Here is a 19,672-nt window from a genome sequence, read left to right as displayed (position 1 = left end):
AAGATCAGGGAAGGCTGCTTATTAACACCGTGGTCACTACAAAAGTTCTTGAGGGCATCTGCTGTGAGTTTTCCATCGTTCCTTATTGTCCTCCTGCATCTCCTGTTGCTTTTCTTGGCCCTCTCCTTTTCGCATTTTCTATGTCCTTTGCCCAGCAGTAGTACTGCAGGCATAAACCATTGTCGACCTGAGAATTAAATTAGCATTTGGTAGCCAGACCTCTCCTTGAGCCTTAGAATGCTTGTGTGCTTGAGGTCCCTGAAGTGTAACGTCATCTCAAAGCGCAAGTAACTAAAGGGAACCTACATGTGACAAGGTGCAGCGGAGGTTCAAGCAGAGCACCCTGGCCGCATCGCAACAGATTATAAAGTGTAGGGGATGAAAATGATGGAAGACATCAGAAAGCCGAGCTGTAAAAAAGCCCAAACTAAGCAAACTGAGACGCGCAAGCGCGTTGCTCACAGCTCGTCTCCCGAGGCCGAGCCACAGCGCCTGCGCACAGAATCCGGGGAGGGTGGGGAAGAGATGAGCACCCAGGCCTGGAGCTCCCACTGCCTCAGCCTCCCTATCCCCGCAAGCTCCGCCTCCTCCAGCTGCTCGCCTTCCCAAACAACCGGGTTCGCCGCCGGCGCTTTCTGCCCATTGGCCCTTAGCCTTTTCCGTTTCCGCCCAGCCCTCAAAATCCACCAATCAGTTTGCACTTTTGGGTGAGGGTCCACCTCCAAGGCTGTCGCTCCGGTTCCTCTGCCTCCTCTGGCTGCTGCCTCCGCAGCTCCCTCCTCCTACCCCACCTCCTCCATCTGGGGAGCGTCTGCGGGGGCCTGAGGGGCGGCGGCGGCGGCGGCGGCTGCGATATGGAGCCAGGGGCCGGCGGCCGAAATACTGCTCGTGCGCAGAGGGCCGGGTCCCCGAACACTCCGCCGCCCCGGGAGCAGGAGCGGAAACTGGAGCAGGAGAAGCTCTCCGGTGTGGTGAAGAGCGTCCACCGGCGGCTCCGCAAGAAGTACCGAGAAGGTAAACAGCGCGCTGAGTGAGGGAGGAAGGGGAGGCCTCATCACCCCCAACCGCTTGTCACCTCTTCCCTCCTCCAAAGAGGCCACCATTAAAATGTAAAGGATCTGCACGTCCCCCCAGCCGCTGCTGCTCTCCCGGGCCTGGTCTGAGCCCCCTAGTCGGCATCAGACGCGCTCCTCCCCGCCCCCTTTTCTTTGAGGGCCCTTCGGGAGAGTTCTAGGCCTGTAAAGGAATTGAGTCCCCACCCCCTCCAAGCCCCTGTCCCCAGCCGGGGTGCTGAGGTTGTTGTCTCGGCACACACAAACACATACACGCTCACAGAGGAGGTGGGGGTCGCTTTTTGCAAGAGACGCCGAGGTAAAACAAGACAGGTAAAATCCATTTGTAAAAGACGAAAAGAAACCTGAGTTGTCCCTCCTTTACGCTTGACCTACCGGCTGTACCATTTGCTTCCTTATCAGACCCCCTTCCTAGTACTTCATTCCTACAACCATGCCGAGCCTTCCTCGCATTGGCTTCCAGGGCTGGGAAGCCAGCAGGCCTTTTAGCTGACTGGACTTCACATTGTTAAAAGGGGGCGGGCTACACTCGTGGCCCCCACTCCCATTTCTTAAATACTTGGTCTTAACTGTTTATTTAGGCGATGAGGAAGAGATCTGGGCAGGTTCTGAAAATACCGTTTGTATTGGAAGCCTCCTAAAGACACCTGCCGATAAAGCCCACCCTCGGCTTCCATGGATGGGGTTCCGGTGAGAACCCCCTCTGTGGAAGCTCATAGGGGAAGAAGCCTTAGTGGCTTTTGCCTGTGCCTGAAGAGTGTTTATAGTTGGAGTCTACAGTTATCCTTGATATCTTTAAATATAGGCTTTTGTACACAGCTGTTTTATAAGATTTTGACAGTGAAAATTCTGTTTTCATAGGCTTGGGAGAGAGACTTCTCCTGAGTATCGAAATGAGGAAAGCTTTCCACTGGTTCTCATTTTAGCTTAATTGCAAACTGAAAAGTCAGCAGCCTTCTGGTGTTAGTCCTATACTTAGTTAATAATTTAGGATTAGAAGGAAAATTATGGCAGTGAAGGAATACAGACAGGTAAGATCATGTTACTGTTGATTTATACACACGTTTCAACTACTCTAGAAAGTTAAAACTAAGTATCCTTTGTTCTTTTGAATGTAGTTGATATGTTTCATTTTTCAAACTTTAAAGGTTTCTTTCCTTAGCAAATCAAGCTTAGCTTTTAATAGAGGCTGTTTAATCATCCCCAAATGGGGCTTGTAGTTATTGTTTAACAGATAGCAATAGAAAGAGTCTTATCAGACCTACTTAGGATGGTAAAATATGTTTTTTGAAAGAATGCTACCCAAACCCACAATTTAGTCAATAAAATGAGTAGTTACCATAGCAACAACTGCATCATTCTTGATATTCAAAGAATGCTCTTACATAATGGAATTCACTGTAGATTTTATGTTATTTGGAGAGATTAGGAAATAAATGGACACATTTTCCTGCAATTTATCCTGCTATTTTGTACAAATTTAAGTGCATCTTTCTAAAGAGAAAAATGACTAGCATAGAATTCCATTTCTATTTTTACCTTTTAATAATTTCATTATTCATTTATTCATAAATGAATAGGTTCCACTCAAATTAACACACTAATGTGGCATCTCTTCAAGTGCTGTTTATATGTGCTTAGTTCCCACATGTTTAACCATGTTTTAAGCCTGAGTATTAACCACAGGAACTCTTGTTTATGAGAATCGGAAGTTACCAGATCTAGAATAGATACATGGAGTTCATAAGTGAATGATCTAGTATGCTTCTGGGGAGTTAAAGTCCTGGCAGTTTAAACATTTGAATGAGACTATTCTTTAGGCGCTTTAATACCCTGAATTTCACCGGTGATCTAGACTTCTCTAGGCTTTGCTTGAATGATATACAAAGCCCCATCAGTGAATTAGCAGAATAAGTGATCCTAATGAGCATGCTCCTTCTACCTTTATTTCTGACATATAGGCTAAATATTAGTAGTAAAAAAGTCATCTGTGAAAAACTCTGTGCACATAATAATACTAAGGAAATAATTTTTAGTGTTTTACTTTGAGGACTTAGTATTGTGCTGATGGTCCCCAGTCTGTAAACATATTTTACAAGTTCATTTGCAAGTCAGCTGTTATTGTAATCTGAAGATTGCTTAAGTGCTAGATCAGTCTGCAAAGGCCCATTGAATCAATAACATACCTGAACTATAGCACCAATAACTATGGAAACTGTACCCCTTTTATCACAATTCTTCTACCAGCAAATGCAGTGAAAATTCCAGCTTAGGATCTTGGAGTTTTAGACTAGAAGGAACCTCTTAGCATTTAGCAGTGATTCCCAAACATGGCTGATCAGCAGATTCAACTGGGTGCCTCTTAGACAATTCCTGTATTCTACCTCAGATCTATAGTTTAAGATCCCTATTATTAGGAACTGGAAATTGTCAGCCAGATATTAGAGTGGTGATCTAATAGCTTCTTCATTTTACAGATAAGTGAGCGGAGTCCTAAAAATATTAAAATAACTTTCTTGATGCTTTGGTAGTTCATTATTAATACTATACATATTTTATGGGAATAATATAGGTTCCCCACCCCCAACTCCAAACCTAATATTAGTGACTCCAAATGTTAGAATAGGAGGGAAAATGAGAAGCAGGAAGTGGCCCTAGAATTTCCATTAGGTGAAAAGTTATAAATTGATGGGAATGGATGATCCATAGGATAGGTATGATTAGCTGAGTTGGGGCTATACAAGGTGAGGGTTTTTTGGGGAGAGATGGCAGGGAAGGAAATAAGTTAGGGTAGAATAAGGAGGCAAAACAGCCATTGAATATTAAGGACAGGATAGATAGTGACTGGGAGGTTGGAGAACAGAGCCTTCTTTTCCCTTATCTCTATTAGTGGAATTGAAAATAAAACAGGAAAAACAATGAAAATAAGTTGTGTTGTTCTTTTTTGCTGTGATAAGAAAAGATTTTTTTCCACTCTTCTCCAACCATTTGCCCAACTGATGCTAGTTGATGGTGATGAACAGGCTTGGGGTGGGGAAGGGTGAACAGGGTTGTAAAGAGTAGCAGGTAGGCTTAATGCACTCTTTTCGTTTACCACTTTTTCCTTCCCCAGTTTATGGCCTGCCTTGTTTCACCACTTAAGAGATGCTGTGCCAATTTGTCTAAAGGTAAAGTGAGAACTGGAGATAAAGGTGTGTTCCAGGCAGCACTCGTATCTGAAGCAGTTACTAAAAAGAAATGGTAGGGAGATGCCTAGCAGTGGTGATGCGAAGGGGTATTTCTGGTGTCTGCCATTGATAGTTAAGAGACAGTCTTTTAAAGTGAGGTTATATTCATAAGATATTCATAAGATAGGTTTTTCACTATCTAGTGAATAGATCCATATTTATAAATGGAAATATGCTTGCACATATAGGTGTTTTCTGTCTTTGCATACATAATTTTTAAAATTTGACCTCCATGTAAACCAAAAATATTTTAAATGTATAAGAGTTATAGACAGCTTTTTAATTAAAAAAACTAGTTTCGCTTTTCAAACAGGGACTTCATTATTTAATTAGATGAGCCTGACAAATATGTATCAAATCAAGAACTGAAGTAGAGCCATGTGTGTTTTTGGTTGTCTTTGTATGATTTTTTTTTTCCATAATCGTATTCACATGAACCCATTCCTGTAATGATTGCTTTTATGCCTGGCATTTCTCTTTCTAAACTTAAAGCGTTTATGTAAAAATTCCAAGAAAATGTAAAAGGCTGCAGTTGTCAGGAGTAAAAGTACACTTTTCATTCCATTTCGTTTTTATTTTTTTAACCTATCTTATGAATATCTTTGGGACATTTTATCAAATTATTCAATCCCTGAATTTACTTGTTCTGCATACCAAACAGATTTAAAACAGTTTATCACATAAACACCTGCAGCTTATAAATCAATCACAAAAAAAAGTAAAAGTATGTACTAAACTGTTAAAAGAGGTATTCTTAAAGTCATGGAATTAGGGGGTGATCTTAACAGGTGAATTAGCATGGCAGTGTAGGATAAGCTGAAAAATATATTTGTGATTGACTATTCTTCAGCAAACACTTAAAATGAGAATTGTGGGGGAAGGGGAAAAACTTTTGTATTAAAATAATTTTAAACCAAAAAGGCTAAAAATAAGAGAATGAATGTGATGTTGGTGTTTTTCCAGAAACAAAGTTTTGAAGTTGTTTTAAAAATTAGAATGAGACTCCTTTTAATTGAACTTTTCTTATTTTTTTTCCTCAGTGGGCTTTAAACACAGCTGCTTTAAAATTTTGACCAAGTCCAAGACCTTAAGAAACTTTGAACAGATTCTTTTCTCAAGTGAGGTTTTGCTGTTTTCTTTTTGTGTTCTTCTTATACTTATTCTGATATAGAATCAGAAAGCTTTTTGTGATAGAATATTTGCCTGATCATTGAAATAAATAAGGTGAAGGTTGTCACAGAAGGTCCTGTTAAGTTTGCACTAGGAGAGTTTGAACTGCCATTCCCAACAGAAGAAAAATAATGAAAAGAGTTCAGTAATCAGTAATAGTAAAAGATAAAGGGACCATTTATATAGTCAGTTCAATGAAGGGCATGTAGGTATACAATGTACATTAGTGTTTAGCTATTTGATTTTGTTATTATTAGTGTTCTTTGTGACAAGGTATCGTTTTAGGGGCTTTTTGCAGTTGAAAAGATACACTAGAAACCAAAAGCATTGTTGCAGATTCCTTGATTGTTTAATGGAAAATAAACCCACTAACATAGCGGTTCTTAGCCTTGGTTCCACATCAGTATAATCTTTGGAACTTTGTGGAACACAGACATCTGTATATATAAAAGCTCCCAGAGTACACAGTGGACAAAGAGGTTCAGAAACACAGCTATTGTAGTAGGAGGAATCTAGGAGAAAGGAGGCTTTTATACTAACCTGATCTAAAGTTAATAATAGCTTAAATAACAGTAGTGATGATGAAAATAGAAGAAGACAGACTTTGAAGATCAGAATAGGCAGTTTCAGTGAAAATAAAGAAGGGTCAAAGATGATGCCAATATTTCTTTCCCGGGAAAATGTAGATAGCTATTAGCATACACTTTGGAAATGGTAGGAGTTGGAGGCAAGAGGAACAGGGTAGTCAGGCAGATTGGCTTGTTATAGGGATAATGGTAATGATTTAGTTTGCAATCTATCCTTTGGAAGTTTAGGATTTGGAAGCCCTCTGTGGAGGCTGAATCTTTGAGGCAAGTAAACTGCACAGTGGGGTTGTAATATAGAACTGAGGACAGATCCTTGGAACACACCAGTAGTTAGAGTTTGGAAGAAGAAAAGTGGAACCATCACAGAACACAGGGAGTACTCCCAGGGATCGGGTGTCTGCTGTGCTGGGTACCAACACAGTAGTAGAACTGTATCTGCCGCCATTTATGCTTCATTTACAGTAGAGTGAAGGTGTTCATAGTGACAGCCTAAAGTCCTCAAGAAAACGTAAAATTATGTTTACTATAATATTTCTTAAGAAAATATTGATTTGCTTTGATTTTCAAAGAGTCCCAGTCTTTCAAAATCAAACAAATCAGTATTTTCAGTTGGTTTTGGTGCATTTGTTTTCTTTAATAAGTATATATCATGTTTGCAGCTTTAAAGCGTCTAAGGCCATGGTTCTTAAAACGTTAGTTGGCTCCAGAATCTTCCAGTGAACTTTTTAAAATGCTGATTCTTAGGTCCCCAGAAAGCAATTTGGTGGATCTGAGATTTGGGGCCCAGGAATCTGCATATTTAATGTCCCTCATGTGATTCTAATTCAGGTGATCATTGGAACACTTTTTGAGAAAACATTGAACTAAGATTTTTCTGTTGCAAAGAAAAGCAGGGTACTTTACTAAAGGATGTGCTCGTCCTGGGAGTTCAAATTGTTTTTCACATTCATTCCTTCCTCATATGTGCCTATGAAATATTTATTTCTGTCATAAAAATACAGTATACAGAGTGAAACATCAGTTGAGATAACTGAATGAGTTAATGATTTTTCAATAATAGGTAGTCTCGCTGCACCACTGTGTAAGGAGCTACTTGTTTTTAAGGCACACTTTAAGAAGTTGTCTTTAAATTTCTTCATTGATAGTTTTGACACATTTTTATATTAGTTTTCTATCTTTTGGTAGCCATTTCTATAGTGTCTAAATAAGTCAGGCACATTTGTCACATAGTTCCTATTATAATCATATCTTCTTCAGTATTTTTGTTAATTTCCTAGAGCAATCTCATACATTGTTCACATTTGACGATTAAGTGGAGACTTTGCTGTTTTATCATACAGTACTTTTGGAGCTCCTGTTTTTACTAGTCCTTGCTAATTAGCAAAAGCAGCAGGATCCCTACCCTCCTTAAGTAACAAAAATAATAGAGATGTTAACCGTAGCTATTCTGTCTTTATGTCTTCAGGGTAGCATTAAGGATTGGATGGCTCCTGGGCATTATCCCTGCCCCTCTTCCTTCCCCCACCAATTCAAGTAAAATTTTCTAAAATGTTCCTCTTTAAATCAGAAGTACTGTTGTACTGGAAGTTTAGCAGCATAATGTTTTTAACAACTTTAAATCTAGATTATTAAGGATTATGGTTTAGAGTCCGATCTTCAGGCCTCTTTTGAAATGACCTCTTCGTGGTTGGTCTTTTAGGCCAGTTTATTGTAATGTAAACTCTTGAAACAAAGATCTGGGTTTTTATTAATCATCACAAACCCCATCCCCACAAACACAGTTGTGTACAGCACCTAGCACAGAATCCTACATAAGTAAGTGCCCCTACCTAAGTGCCCCTCTTACCTTGTGCTTCCATAGCATGATTGTGCCTACCTTTATGGTATTTATAACTTACCAGTTCATTTGTCTGTTTTATCTACTAAACTTAGTTTCTTGAGTAAAACTCTGCCTTTTATCTCTGTAGCCTTAGTACATAGCACCAGGCCTTGTAGATTTAAGGCACACGCACAGAAGAAGCTAATGTAAATATTTCCAGATAGTTGAGTTTTATCTTTTTATATTCATAACTTTAAAATTTTAACTTGTGGATACCCATGTTTTCTAATTTATGCTCATGTCTTCTTAAATTGAGTATATTAGATTAATTTTACCCTTTTTTAAATGGTCCAAGTTATTCTGAATAGCATTCTATTTTTCTATAAATATAATGGTAAATATATCCTTACACTCATTATGGTATCTTTATTTGTTCTCATAAGGATGTTGTAGTGGGTATAATGTATGTCTCTCTGTATGTTGGTAATAAAAATGGTAATAGTGAGCTGGGTACGGTGGCTCATGCCTGTAATCCCAGCACTTTGGGAGGCCGAGGCGGGTGGATCACGAGGTCAAGAGATAGAGACCATCCTGGTTAACTTGGTGAAACCCTGTCTCTACTAAAAATACAAAAAATTAGCCGGGTGTGGTGGCATGTGCCTGTAGTCCCAGCTACTTGTGAGGCTGAGGTAGGAAAATCACTTGAACCTGGATGGCGGAGGTTGCAGTGAGCCGAGATTGCACCACTGCACTCCAGCCTGGGTGACAGAACGAGACTCCATCCCGAAAAAAGAAAAAAAAAAAAAAAGTAATAGTTTTGTGTATTTGTTTATATTTACAGATAAAAATTTTTCAACCCCAATATATCAGTCTCTTAAATTTGAAGTGAAATTTATACTAGTTACAAAATCTAACATCTGACAACCACTAAACTATACTGACCTATTGTGCTTTAAGTGTAGATACACTAATACCCATTGCTGTGTTTATTTTAGAATAGGTGGTTAATCTTCATGCATTTAGAGCAGCATGTGAGTATCCATTTCCATTTATATAGAAATTAGGGTAAGACTTTTTAATTGAACATATGAAAATTAAGTTCCAAAAGGCTGTTCATAAATCCTTTTGTTTGAAAGTTGAAAATTAAACTAAGCAAGTGCTCTGTGTGGTCATAGACCCACCTGTGAAGTTCACTTTCACAAGGGAATAACATGTTGGTGACATTGGTTATGATTTTTCTTGATTTCTTTCCATCTGCCTTATAGGATGTGTTCACAGACTTGCATTTTGGAGTAAGTATTTTTATCGTTGATATGTTTATAATAAAAGGCTGTTCCAAGAACAGAAGATACACCGTGAGCCAGTGTTTGTAGATATTAAGTTTAATCCATGCATTGATTTGTTTTGTTGTGTTTTTTTTTTTGTTAATTAAATTGGACTCTTAAGGTTGTCCCAACCCCCTGCTCTCTATATTATTTTGCCAGGCTTTTAAGCTCACAACCTTGCTATACACCATTGGTTTTAAGCCATAGCTACACGTTGGATTCATCCGGGGAGTGTTAAACTAAATGACCAGTTGCCACTCCAGACCAGTTAAATGAAACTTCTGGGTGATTCCAATGTGCAGCCAGAATTGGCAGCCAGAGTTGAGAACCACTGCCAGAAATCTAACAAATAATGCAGTTGCAGAGACTAAATAACTGCATTTGACTGACAAAAGACCATTTGTTTGTGGTTAGTAGAGTCTGTGTACTTTCCTCTGTTGCAAAGCTTTGCTCATATCCATGAAAGTTCATGAATTAAAAACTTATGAAGAGAAGCAAAGTTTGTGGTTAGGAGCATGACTTTAGCTTTTGACTACCAGGTTTGTTGTGTAACCTTGGAAAAGTTTACTTAATCGCTCTACTTCAGTTTCCTCATCTATAAAGTAAAATATCTGCCTCAATGGATTGGTATTATAATTAAATGAGTTAATATTTGAAAAGCACTTAAAACAACATTTGGCATATAGGAAACACACTAAGCTTGTAAAATACAGAAATTTAAAAATAACAGCTCTTTTATCTGTAGCTATACTGCTTCAATGCATTTAAGGACTATGACATTAAAGACTGGATGGCTCCTGGAATTTTTACCTAGACTGTTCTGTAGTCTTCTCAGTATTAAAATGACTTTTTCTTTTTCTTCTTTTTTTTTTTTTTGCCCCTTTTGCTGTTTGTGTTTCTAAGTTTTTATATGAAAAGTCCAACCTTTTTAGCATGTCAGAATATTGGTGGTGTTTTCTTCCCACATTAGAGAAATGACTATTCATAACATGTTGGCTATAAGATGCAGGTTTTCAAACTTTTTGTTTTCTGGTTACTTTTTGGCTCTTAATTACCAAACACCTTGGATGTTTTTTATCCCACTTTTAGATGTGTCACTGTATCAGGTGCTCAAGAGCTGAGAAGACTGGTCGTTGTATGGCTTAACTATGTAAGACAATCTGAATTCTGAACATTTTGTTTTAATGCCTTGAAATGGTAGCTGAACTTGTTTGCACTTAGTCATGAGTTTCTTTACTTACCTTGTGTTAGAGAAAATGACCATTAAAGGTACTTTGAACTTGAATTTGGTAGTCTTGTCATCTACAGATAAGGCATCTTAGGGCCCGTATTTGGCAATATGCCTAAGTCAGAATCAAATAAATTGTTCTGAATTTCTAAAAGTTTAAGACTTTTGATACTCATGTATTTTTTTGCTTTTTTAGAGAATTTGATGGCCCTCAAATTTAATGAAATATAATCTTAATTTTGTAACATATACCATGCTTGTGGCACATCATTTTTAAAAATTAAATTTATTGAGATATGATTCATGTACAGTAAATTGTGTCTTTTTAAAGTATATAATTCCGTAAGTTTTGACAATGCATGCATCTCTGTAAAACCATTACCACAATAAGGCGTAGAACATTTTCATCACTGCCAAAATTTTCTCATACTTCTTTGCAGTCGGTCTCTCTCTATACTCTCAGTCTCACATGTCTTTTCACTATAGATTCACCTCCATTTATTTTCGTTTCTTAGCTATTGTGAGTAATGCTGCAATGATTATAGGATTGCAGATATCTCTTTGACATACTGATTTCATTTCCTTTGGATAAATACCCATAGTGGGATTGCTGAATCATGTAGTAGTTTTATTTTTAATTTTTTTAGGAACCTCCATACTGTTTTGGCTGTACTAATTTACATACCCAACATAAGTATACAGGATTCACTTTTCTTCACATCCTCACCAATGCTTGTTATCTCTGGTCTTTTTGATAATAGCCATCCTAACAGATGGGAGGTAGTATCTTATTGTGGTTTTAATTTGCATTTTCCTGATGATTAGTTTTGTTGAGCACCCTTCTATATACCCATTGGCCATTTTTTGTGTTGTCTTTGGAAAAATATCTATTCAGGTCATTGCCCATTTTTTAGTCAGATTATTTGTTTTTTTGCTATTCAGTTTGAGGTTTTTTTTATATATCTTTTGGATATTAACCCCTTATCAGGTATATGGTTTGTAAATATATTTTTATCTTAAAATGGCATCACATATATACTTGCTAACTTATTTTCTGTGCTTTGTATGTTTTAAAAAGGAGAATTAGGATAGAGTTATTGAGAAAAAATATTATTTTTATACACATCAAGTATATAAAAATCAAGTGGTCCTGGCATGTAAAAATGCATGAACCTTAGCACCACCTATTCATTTTTTTCACATATAAGTAATTCTTTATCTATTTGGTGGTGTTACTGTTCATTTCTCCTTGAGCTAATAAATTTTTCGAAAAGATCTGTGTACTGCTATTAAAGAACTTAATGGATATGACTGGACTGTCAGCTGCAAGGTTTTCTTTTGACAATAACACAAAATGAAAAAGCCTTTTTAATAAGCTTAAAACAATGGTCTCTAGAAAAATGACATTGAAATTATTGCTTTTCTGACCTTGGAACTCTTACTTTGAAAACAGTAACTATTGTGAAAAATTTAAATTCTGCTTTTGAGTGACTGCTATTTATTGAAAGCCATCCTCTGTAGTTTGAATTTTATCTTAGCAACTAATTTAATTTGTTTATACTTTTCATGTTTATTTTTTGAGCATGATGAAAATTTAAATATTTTGTCCTCCACTGACTGAGCACCCTAATTAACTTCTCTAATTTATACAAATTGTAAATCAAAAGTAGTCTTTGCTTTTCCATTTATACTTTCTATTGGGAAAATCACACCTGGTTTTAATAGACAGTATGTATAAATGAATGACAAAGTACCGTAAGGATGGCAGATGAGGGAAGTGTAAGATGATAAAGTGGGAGGCAGATAAACCCTCTTGAAGAAAATATGAATTCAGTTACATTTTGAAGGAAAAAAAATGCTGTACCAGATGGCAGGAGAGAGGTTAATTCATAAAGAAAGAATAATATCAACTCTAAATAAATAATTTAGGGATTCCATTGGTTCACTTTAATTTGGAACTGTTTTAGAGCTGCGCTTCTGGATGTTATGTAGAGCAAAAATACTTTTAAACCCATTTCCTTGTACTTGTTTTTTTACAAAGGCAGTTGCATTGTAATAATGTCTTAATCACAAAGTTATTAAAAATGGAACTCTTTTTAAATTAATGAATGTGCTATTCTTTCCTAGTTGTCATTGTCCTTTTATTAGTAGCTCCTAATTTATTTTTTAGTTGTGACATAGTGTTTTTGAAGGTGAGTTTAGTCAATGCAATAGTTATGGTATTATCTTGATATAAGATTCAAAATAATTTGGTTCATTGATTATCATATTGAACTTGGTTTGGCAACTTTAAGTTGGCATCACTCATGTTTAAAATTACGAATTTGTTTTTTAAAATGGGTGTTTGAAAAATTTAAATGTTATGGGATAACTAAATAGAAGTCATGTTAATGTGAACTTTGTTCTAGAATTTTGTAAGACAATTTAAGCTGTAGAGCATATATTTTTGAATTGTGCTTTCTAAAAATAATTTGTGAATTCTCTGTAGTTGGTCAAAGTAAAACGTGTGTACCCATTGCAGATTTTGTTCTCCACGCCTCCCTTTCCCCTTGTACCTGTCTCTTTCTCTCTCTCTTTCTCTCTGTCTCACTTTTACTTTAAGACACATGTATTTTTTCTAGAATGCCTATAAGAAATTGGTAAGAAAATGGGTTATTAATTACAACACTTTTGAGTCATTCACAGATGCCATTATATTAAAATAAATCATAAGGCTAATTATTAATTCATTGAGAGTTCTGATAGAACTTGAAGACCTAAATGTTTCTTATACTGTGTTGACTAGACCTTTCATGCAAACTTCAAGAAGTTCTAGCTCCTGATTTACCTTTTAATAATGAAAAAATGTTGTCCTTTTAAATAGTATATCTTTTAATTATTAGTTGACCTAATAACTAAGTGATAAAAAAATCCTTAAAATTGAGTTTTAATATATTGTTTGTATATGCAGTTTGAGTTGGTAGAGGAGTTTTAAATATTATACTGGGCACTGGTGAACCCTAACTTTTTTTGGATTTTAGAACCTGAATCATAGATTACTTTGAAAAACTTTGCTCAAAATTTAAATACCATTATTTTAAATACTATAAAAACAAAAAATGGGCTATTATGAAAATACTTTTTCTCATTCCTTTTTAATAATTTCATTTATTTTTAAAATTACCTTAAGCTTTCAGAGGTATTTTGGGAAGTGGAATTTTCTCATAACTAAAGGCCAGCTATGTTTTTTGTTCAATTTTATAACCACCAGACTTTTAACAAAATGTATACACAGTAGTCAGAGTTTGAAACATTTTTATTTTATAAATATATGAAATAAAAGTTTTGGGTCCAGGATGCCTTGCATAGGATATAGGGAACCCGTCAGGTTCATATCTCTTTTATAGCATTTCCACATTTTACATGTCTTCTCCCCTTTTTTTGATACCAATGCCTGCTCATTAACTTTATTTTCTGTAGCATTTAATATGGAGTATTTTTAAAAGAAAATCTGTTGAAAGAAGGAAAAATATATACAGGTGCATCTTCTACTGTCAGTTATATATTTAAGTATACTTCACTTTATGAATCACATCAATTTTCAGTGTCAACACACTTTGTGAGAGTCTGCAGACTCCTCAATGTTAATGAAATCGTTAAATTGAAGTTGTTTGGTTAATCTGAGTTGCATTAGCCTACAAAGTTTGAATTCTTCCTTAGGACTTCAGTGAGGTAGATAGCCATAAAATTTCATTAGGTGGTATTTCAGAGAATTTTGTTGAGTATGAAAAACTAGAGGTCTTCTAAAAAGTTGTAGGGTAGTAGGTTTCTGTGTATTTTCAGTTCTTTGCATCTTATAGCTAGTAGAATAATTATAGAGTAAATTGAGTTTCAAAGTATATAGTGACATGGCAAGGACTCTAAGAATTTCTAACAGATGCCTGTGTTGCCTCACATAGCACACCCTTTGTCCTCACCCATGGTAGATAGACACTTTGAGCTCAGATTCACTAGCCCTTACATAGACCCACTTTAAATGAGTGCTGCTTTTTTGTGTTCTGCCTTTCTCCCACACTGCTGGAGCCCACTGAGATTGTCCCCTTATTCAGTGGCTAAGTGCAGACTAGCAGTGCAGATTGTTAATAATTCTCAGTTAATGGGGATAAGAACTTAGAGATAAATGCCGTGGCCTCCCATTCTTTAGGTGCACAATTCTGGACACATTCGGTATGCTTTTCAGTTTGCCAACAGCAGCAACCTCAGTAAAGCAACCTTGTATTAGTTTTTTCTCCTTCCCATCTTTCTCTCTACTTCCTTACTCCTGTTTCCTAGGATTCTCACCCAATTAAACTACATGGACCCAGGTCTTTGTCTTAAGTTGTACTTTTTTTTTTTTTTTTTTGAGACAGAGCTTGGCTCTTGTCACCCAGGTTGGAGTGCAATGGCATGATCTCAGCTCACTGCAACCTCCACCTCCCAGGTTCAAGCGATTCTCCTGCCTCAGCCTCCCGAATAGTTGGGATTACAGGCATGCGCCACCACACCTGGCTAATTTTGTATTTTGTAGTAGACGCAGGGTTTTACCATGTTTGTCAGGATGGTCTCAAACTCCTGACCTCAGGTAATCTGCCGGCCTTGGCCTCCCAAAGTGCTGGGATTACAGGCAAGAGCTACCACACCCAACCAAGTTGTACATTCTTTAGACGCTAAGTCTTGCAGAAAGGAAAAGAAAATATGTTTGTTTTAAGCATAGCTTTTCCCAGGTATATGTTATCATAGAACTTTTGTTTGAATGACTCCTATTAACAGCACATATAATACATTTATGTATTTACTTATAATGTATAGATTCTATAGGGCAGTGAAACTTAAAAGTTCAAAAAAAGGCCTTCTAGACTTGATGATTCACCTTTAAAATTATACAATACCTTAATGAATGATTTAGTTTCAAATTTGATGGATAAAGTCAGAAATAGTGTTATGTACCATCATGGGTTTATGAAAGTGTCATTAATTAAAGTATTGTTTCAAACGCCTCACTTTCTGAAGTTCTATTTAGAGACTTGATAAATAACTACATCTGAAAGATGTTGCTAAAACTGAGGAAAGCAGTAGTGTGTTTAAATTAATATTCCAATACAGCAGGCAGGCCCTCAAACTGTATGTCTTAAATGAACTTCGGTATGTGGTATTCTCACAGGAGCATTTGTGTATACCTTCAACTTGAACATTGAATCTGCCTCAAACTTCACCCTTTTTTCTTTTTCCTTGGACTTGTGTTTTATGAATAGTTATTTTATCACAGAAGGTCATTTTCAAATGAAACTGCTGGAAAAAAACATTAATAGGAATTCAAGTCAAACTGCTAAAAAAAAAAGAACATTGGCCATTATATTAAAATAAATCATAATTTATTATGATTTAACATGATTGAACTCGAATACCTTAACATTTCTAAAACTGAGGAATTTTTATTTGAGAATCTAGAAAACTTTTCCCTGCTTTTTTTAAGTTAATAGTTATTGCCAGTCTGATATGTAACAAATTGAGAGGCCAGTCACTACCCAAATGTTAGTGATTAATGGAAATATTTGTATATGAGTACATAGCCCCCTCAAAAATAATTCTCTCAGGTTTAAAATCAGTATTCAGGCCAAGACTCAGACTGATATATAGTCATCTTAACAATGTGTGAGAGGGTTTGTTTGTATCCTTACTCTTCTTTCTTGATCAAATTAGAGGGCTAATAGTTTGGTTTTCAACTCAGTACTTATTAGACTGTAGACCCTAAAATACCCAGTAACTGGGATTAATGGAAAGATTTTCAAATTTGAATAGTTAAATATTGGTTGTTACATTTGGACTATTATAATTCCTTTTCTGTTTAAAAAAAACCTCTTAGATGTAAGAATTCAATAACCTTAAGTGGAGGAAGAATTTTAGTATAATTATCTCCCACATTTGGCTGTTCTATTTATAGTTTTTTTTCTTTTTTTTATTATTATTATACTTTAAGTTTTAGGGTACATATGCACAATGTGCAGGTTAGTTACATATGTATACATGTGCCATGCTGGTGTGCTGCACCCATTAACTCGTCCTTTAGCATTAGGTATATCTCCTAATGCTATCCCTCCCCCCTCCCGCCACCCCACAACAGACCCCAGAGTGTGATCTTCCCCTTCCTGTGTCCAAGTGTTCTCATTATTCAATTCCCACCTATGAGTGAGAATATGCGGTGTTTGGTTTTTTGTTCTTGTGATAGTTTACTGAGAATGATGATTTCCAGTTTCATCCATATCCCTACAAAGGACATGAACTCATCATTTTTTATGGCGGCATAGTATTCCATGGTGTATATGTGCCACATTTTCTTAATCCAGTCTGTCATTGTTGGACATTTGGGTTGGTTCCAAGTCTTTGCTATTGTGAATAGTGCCGCAATAAACATACGTGTGCATGTGTCTTTATAGCAGCATGATTTATAGTCCTTTGGGTATATACCCAGTAATGGGATGGCTGGGTCAAATGGTATTTCTAGTTCTAGATCCCTGAGGAATCACCACACTGACTTCCACAATGGTTGAACTAGTTTACAGTCCCACCAATAGTGTAAAAGTGTTCCTATTTCTCCACATCCTCTCCAGCACCTGTTGTTTCCTGACTTAATTTTTTTTTATTTTTTGTTTTTGAGTATTTATTTATTTATTTATTTATTTTTTATTGATCATTCTTGGGTGTTTCTCCCAGAGGGGGATTTGGCAGGGTCATAGGACAATAGTGGAGGGAAGGTCAGCAGATAAACAAGTGAACAAAGGTCTCTGGTTTTCCTAGGCAGAGGACCCTGCAGCCTTCCGCAGTGTTTGTGTCCCTGGGTACTTGAGATTAGGGAGTGGTGATGACTCTTAAGGAGCATGCTGCCTTCAAGCATCTGTTTAACAAAGCACATCTTGCACCGCCCTTAATCCATTTAACCCTGAGTGGACACAGCACATGTTTCAGAGAGCACAGGGTTAGGGGTAAGGTCATAGATCAACAGGATCCCAAGGCAGAAGAATTTTTCTTAGTACAGAACAAAATGAAAAGTCTCCCATGTCTACTTCTTTCTACACAGACATAGCAACCATCCGATTTCTCAATCTTTTCCCCACCTTTCCCCCTTTTCTATTCCACAAAACCGCTATTGTCATCATGGCCTGTTCTCAGTGAGCTGTTGGGTACACCTCCCAGATGGGGTGGTGGCCGGGCAGAGGGGCTCCTCACTTCCCAGTAGGGACGGATGGGGCGGCTGGCCCGGGGGGGGGGGGCTGACCCCCCCACCTCCCTCCCGGACGGGGTGGCTGGCCGGGCGGGGGTCTGACCCCCCACCTCCCTCCCGGACGGGGCGGCTGGCCTGGCGGGGGCTGACCCCCACCTCCCTCCCAGACAGGGTGGCTGCCAGGTGGAGGGGCTCCTCACTTCTCAGACAGGGCGGCTGCCGGGCGGAGGGGCTCCTCACTTCTCAGACGGGGCGGCCGGGCAGAGACGCTCCTCACCTCCCAGATGGGGTCATGGCCGGGCAGAGGTGCTCCTCACATCCCAGACGGGGCGGCGGGGCAGAGGCGCTCCCCACATCTCAGACGATGGGCGGCTGGGTAGAGACACTCCTCACTTCCTAGATGGGATGGCGGCCGGGAAGAGGCGCTCCTCACTTCCTAGATGGGATGGCGGCCGGGCAGAGACGCTCCTCACTTTCCAGACTGAGCAGCCAGGCAGAGGGGCTCCTCACATCCCAGACGATGGGCGGCCAGGCAGAGACGCTCCTCACTTCCCAGACAGGGTGGCGGCTGGGCAGAGGCTGCAATCTCGGCACTTTGGGAGGCCAAGGCAGGCAGCTGGGAGGTGGAGGTTGTAGCAAGCCGAGATCATGCCACTGCACTCCAGCCTGGGCACCATTGAGCACTGAGTGAATGAGACTCCGTCTGCAATCCCGGCACCTCGGGAGGCCGAGGCTGACGGATCACTCGCGGTTAGGAGCTGGAGACCAGCCCGGCCAACACAGCGAAACCCCGTCTCCACCAAAAAAATACGAAAACCAGTCAGGCGTGGCGGCGCGCGCCTGTAATCGCAGGCACTCGGCAGGCTGATGCAGGAGAATCAGGCAGGGAGGTTGCAGTGAGCCGAGATGGCAGCAGTACAGTCCAGCTTCGGCTCGGCATCAGAGGGAGACCGTGGGGAGCGGGAGCGGGAGAGGGAGAGGGAGAGGGAGAGGGGGAGGGGCTTTCCTGACTTTTTAATGATAACCATTCTAAGTGGTGTGAGATGGTATCTCATTGTGGTTTTGATTTGCATTTCTCTGATGGCCAGTGATGGTGAGCATTTTTTCATGTGTTTTTTGGCTGCATAAATGTCTTCTTTTGAGAAGTGTCTGTTAATGTCCTTGTTGATGGGGTTGTTTGTTTTTTTCTTGTAAATTTGTTTGAGTTCATTGTAGATTCTGGATATTAGCCCTTTGTCAGATGAGTAGGTTGCGAAAATTTTCTTCCATTTTGTAGGTTGCCTGTTCACTCTGATGGTAGTTTCTTTTGCTGTGCAGAAGCTCTTTAGTTTAATTAGATCCCATTTGTCAATTTTGGCTTTTGTTGCCATTGCTTTTGGTGTTTTAGACATGAAGTCCTTGCCCATGCCTATGTCCTGAATGGTAATGCCTAGGTTTTCTTTTAGGGTTTTTATGGTTTTAGGTCTAACGTTTAAGTCTTTAATCCATCTTGAATTAATTTTTGTATAAGGTGTAAGGAAGGGATCCAGTTTCAGCTTTCTACATATGGCTAGCCAGTTTTCCCAGCACCATTTATTAAATAGGGAATCCTTTCCCCATTGCTTGTTTTTGTCAGGTTTGTCAAAGATCAGATAGTTGTAGATATGCGGCGTTATTTCTGAGGCGTCTGTTCTGTTCCATTGATCTATATCTCTGTTTTGGTACCATTACCATGCTGTTTTGGTTACTGTAGCCTTGTAGTATAGTTTGAAGTCAGGTAGCGTGATGCCTCCAGCTTTGTTCTTTTGGCTTAGGGTTGACTTGGTGATGCGGGCTCTTTTTTGGTTCCATATGAACTTTAAAGTAGTTTTTTCCAATTCTGTGAAGGAAGTCATTGGTAGCTTGATGGGGATGGCATTGAATCTATAAATTACCTTGGGCAATATGGCCATTTTCACCATATTGATTCTTCCTATCCATGAGCATGGAATGTTCTTCCATTTGTTTGTATCCTCTTTTATTTCCTT

At 38.4% G+C, this 19,672-nt stretch overlaps 1 protein-coding gene across 1 annotated transcript in view, besides 3 other annotated features; it reads left to right on the top strand.

The window, feature by feature from the left end:
* Nucleotides 256–772: an enhancer, noted in NCBI's record as "H3K27ac hESC enhancer chr7:112579888-112580404 (GRCh37/hg19 assembly coordinates)". NCBI's record gives its function as "activates a minimal SCP1, AML or CMV promoter by ChIP-STARR-seq in naive H9 embryonic stem cells {active_cell/tissue: H9 hESC(naive)}" and the evidence as "EXISTENCE:reporter gene assay evidence [ECO:0000049][PMID:30033119]".
* Nucleotides 262–601: an enhancer, noted in NCBI's record as "active region_26520". NCBI's record gives its function as "activates an Ori minimal core promoter by ATAC-STARR-seq in GM12878 lymphoblastoid cells {active_cell/tissue: GM12878}" and the evidence as "EXISTENCE:reporter gene assay evidence [ECO:0000049][PMID:35858748]".
* The window catches only part of SAMTOR (S-adenosylmethionine sensor upstream of mTORC1), a 120,729-nt gene continuing 101,786 nt past the window's right edge, over nt 730–19,672 (top strand). Inside the window, exon 1 of the mRNA NM_152556.3 lies at nt 730–1,014. Coding sequence (NP_689769.2) covers nt 855–1,014 — 160 coding nt within the window. The 5' untranslated portion in view covers nt 730–854. The remainder of the gene's footprint in view (nt 1,015–19,672) is intronic.
* Nucleotides 802–901: a silencer, noted in NCBI's record as "silent region_18545". NCBI's record gives its function as "represses an Ori minimal core promoter by ATAC-STARR-seq in GM12878 lymphoblastoid cells {active_cell/tissue: GM12878}" and the evidence as "EXISTENCE:reporter gene assay evidence [ECO:0000049][PMID:35858748]".

Source organism: Homo sapiens, chromosome 7 (assembly GCF_000001405.40).
Source record: "Homo sapiens chromosome 7, GRCh38.p14 Primary Assembly".
In the NCBI taxonomy this organism is placed as follows: Eukaryota; Metazoa; Chordata; class Mammalia; order Primates; family Hominidae; genus Homo; species Homo sapiens.
This window is presented reverse-complemented; position numbering and strand designations above follow the sequence as displayed.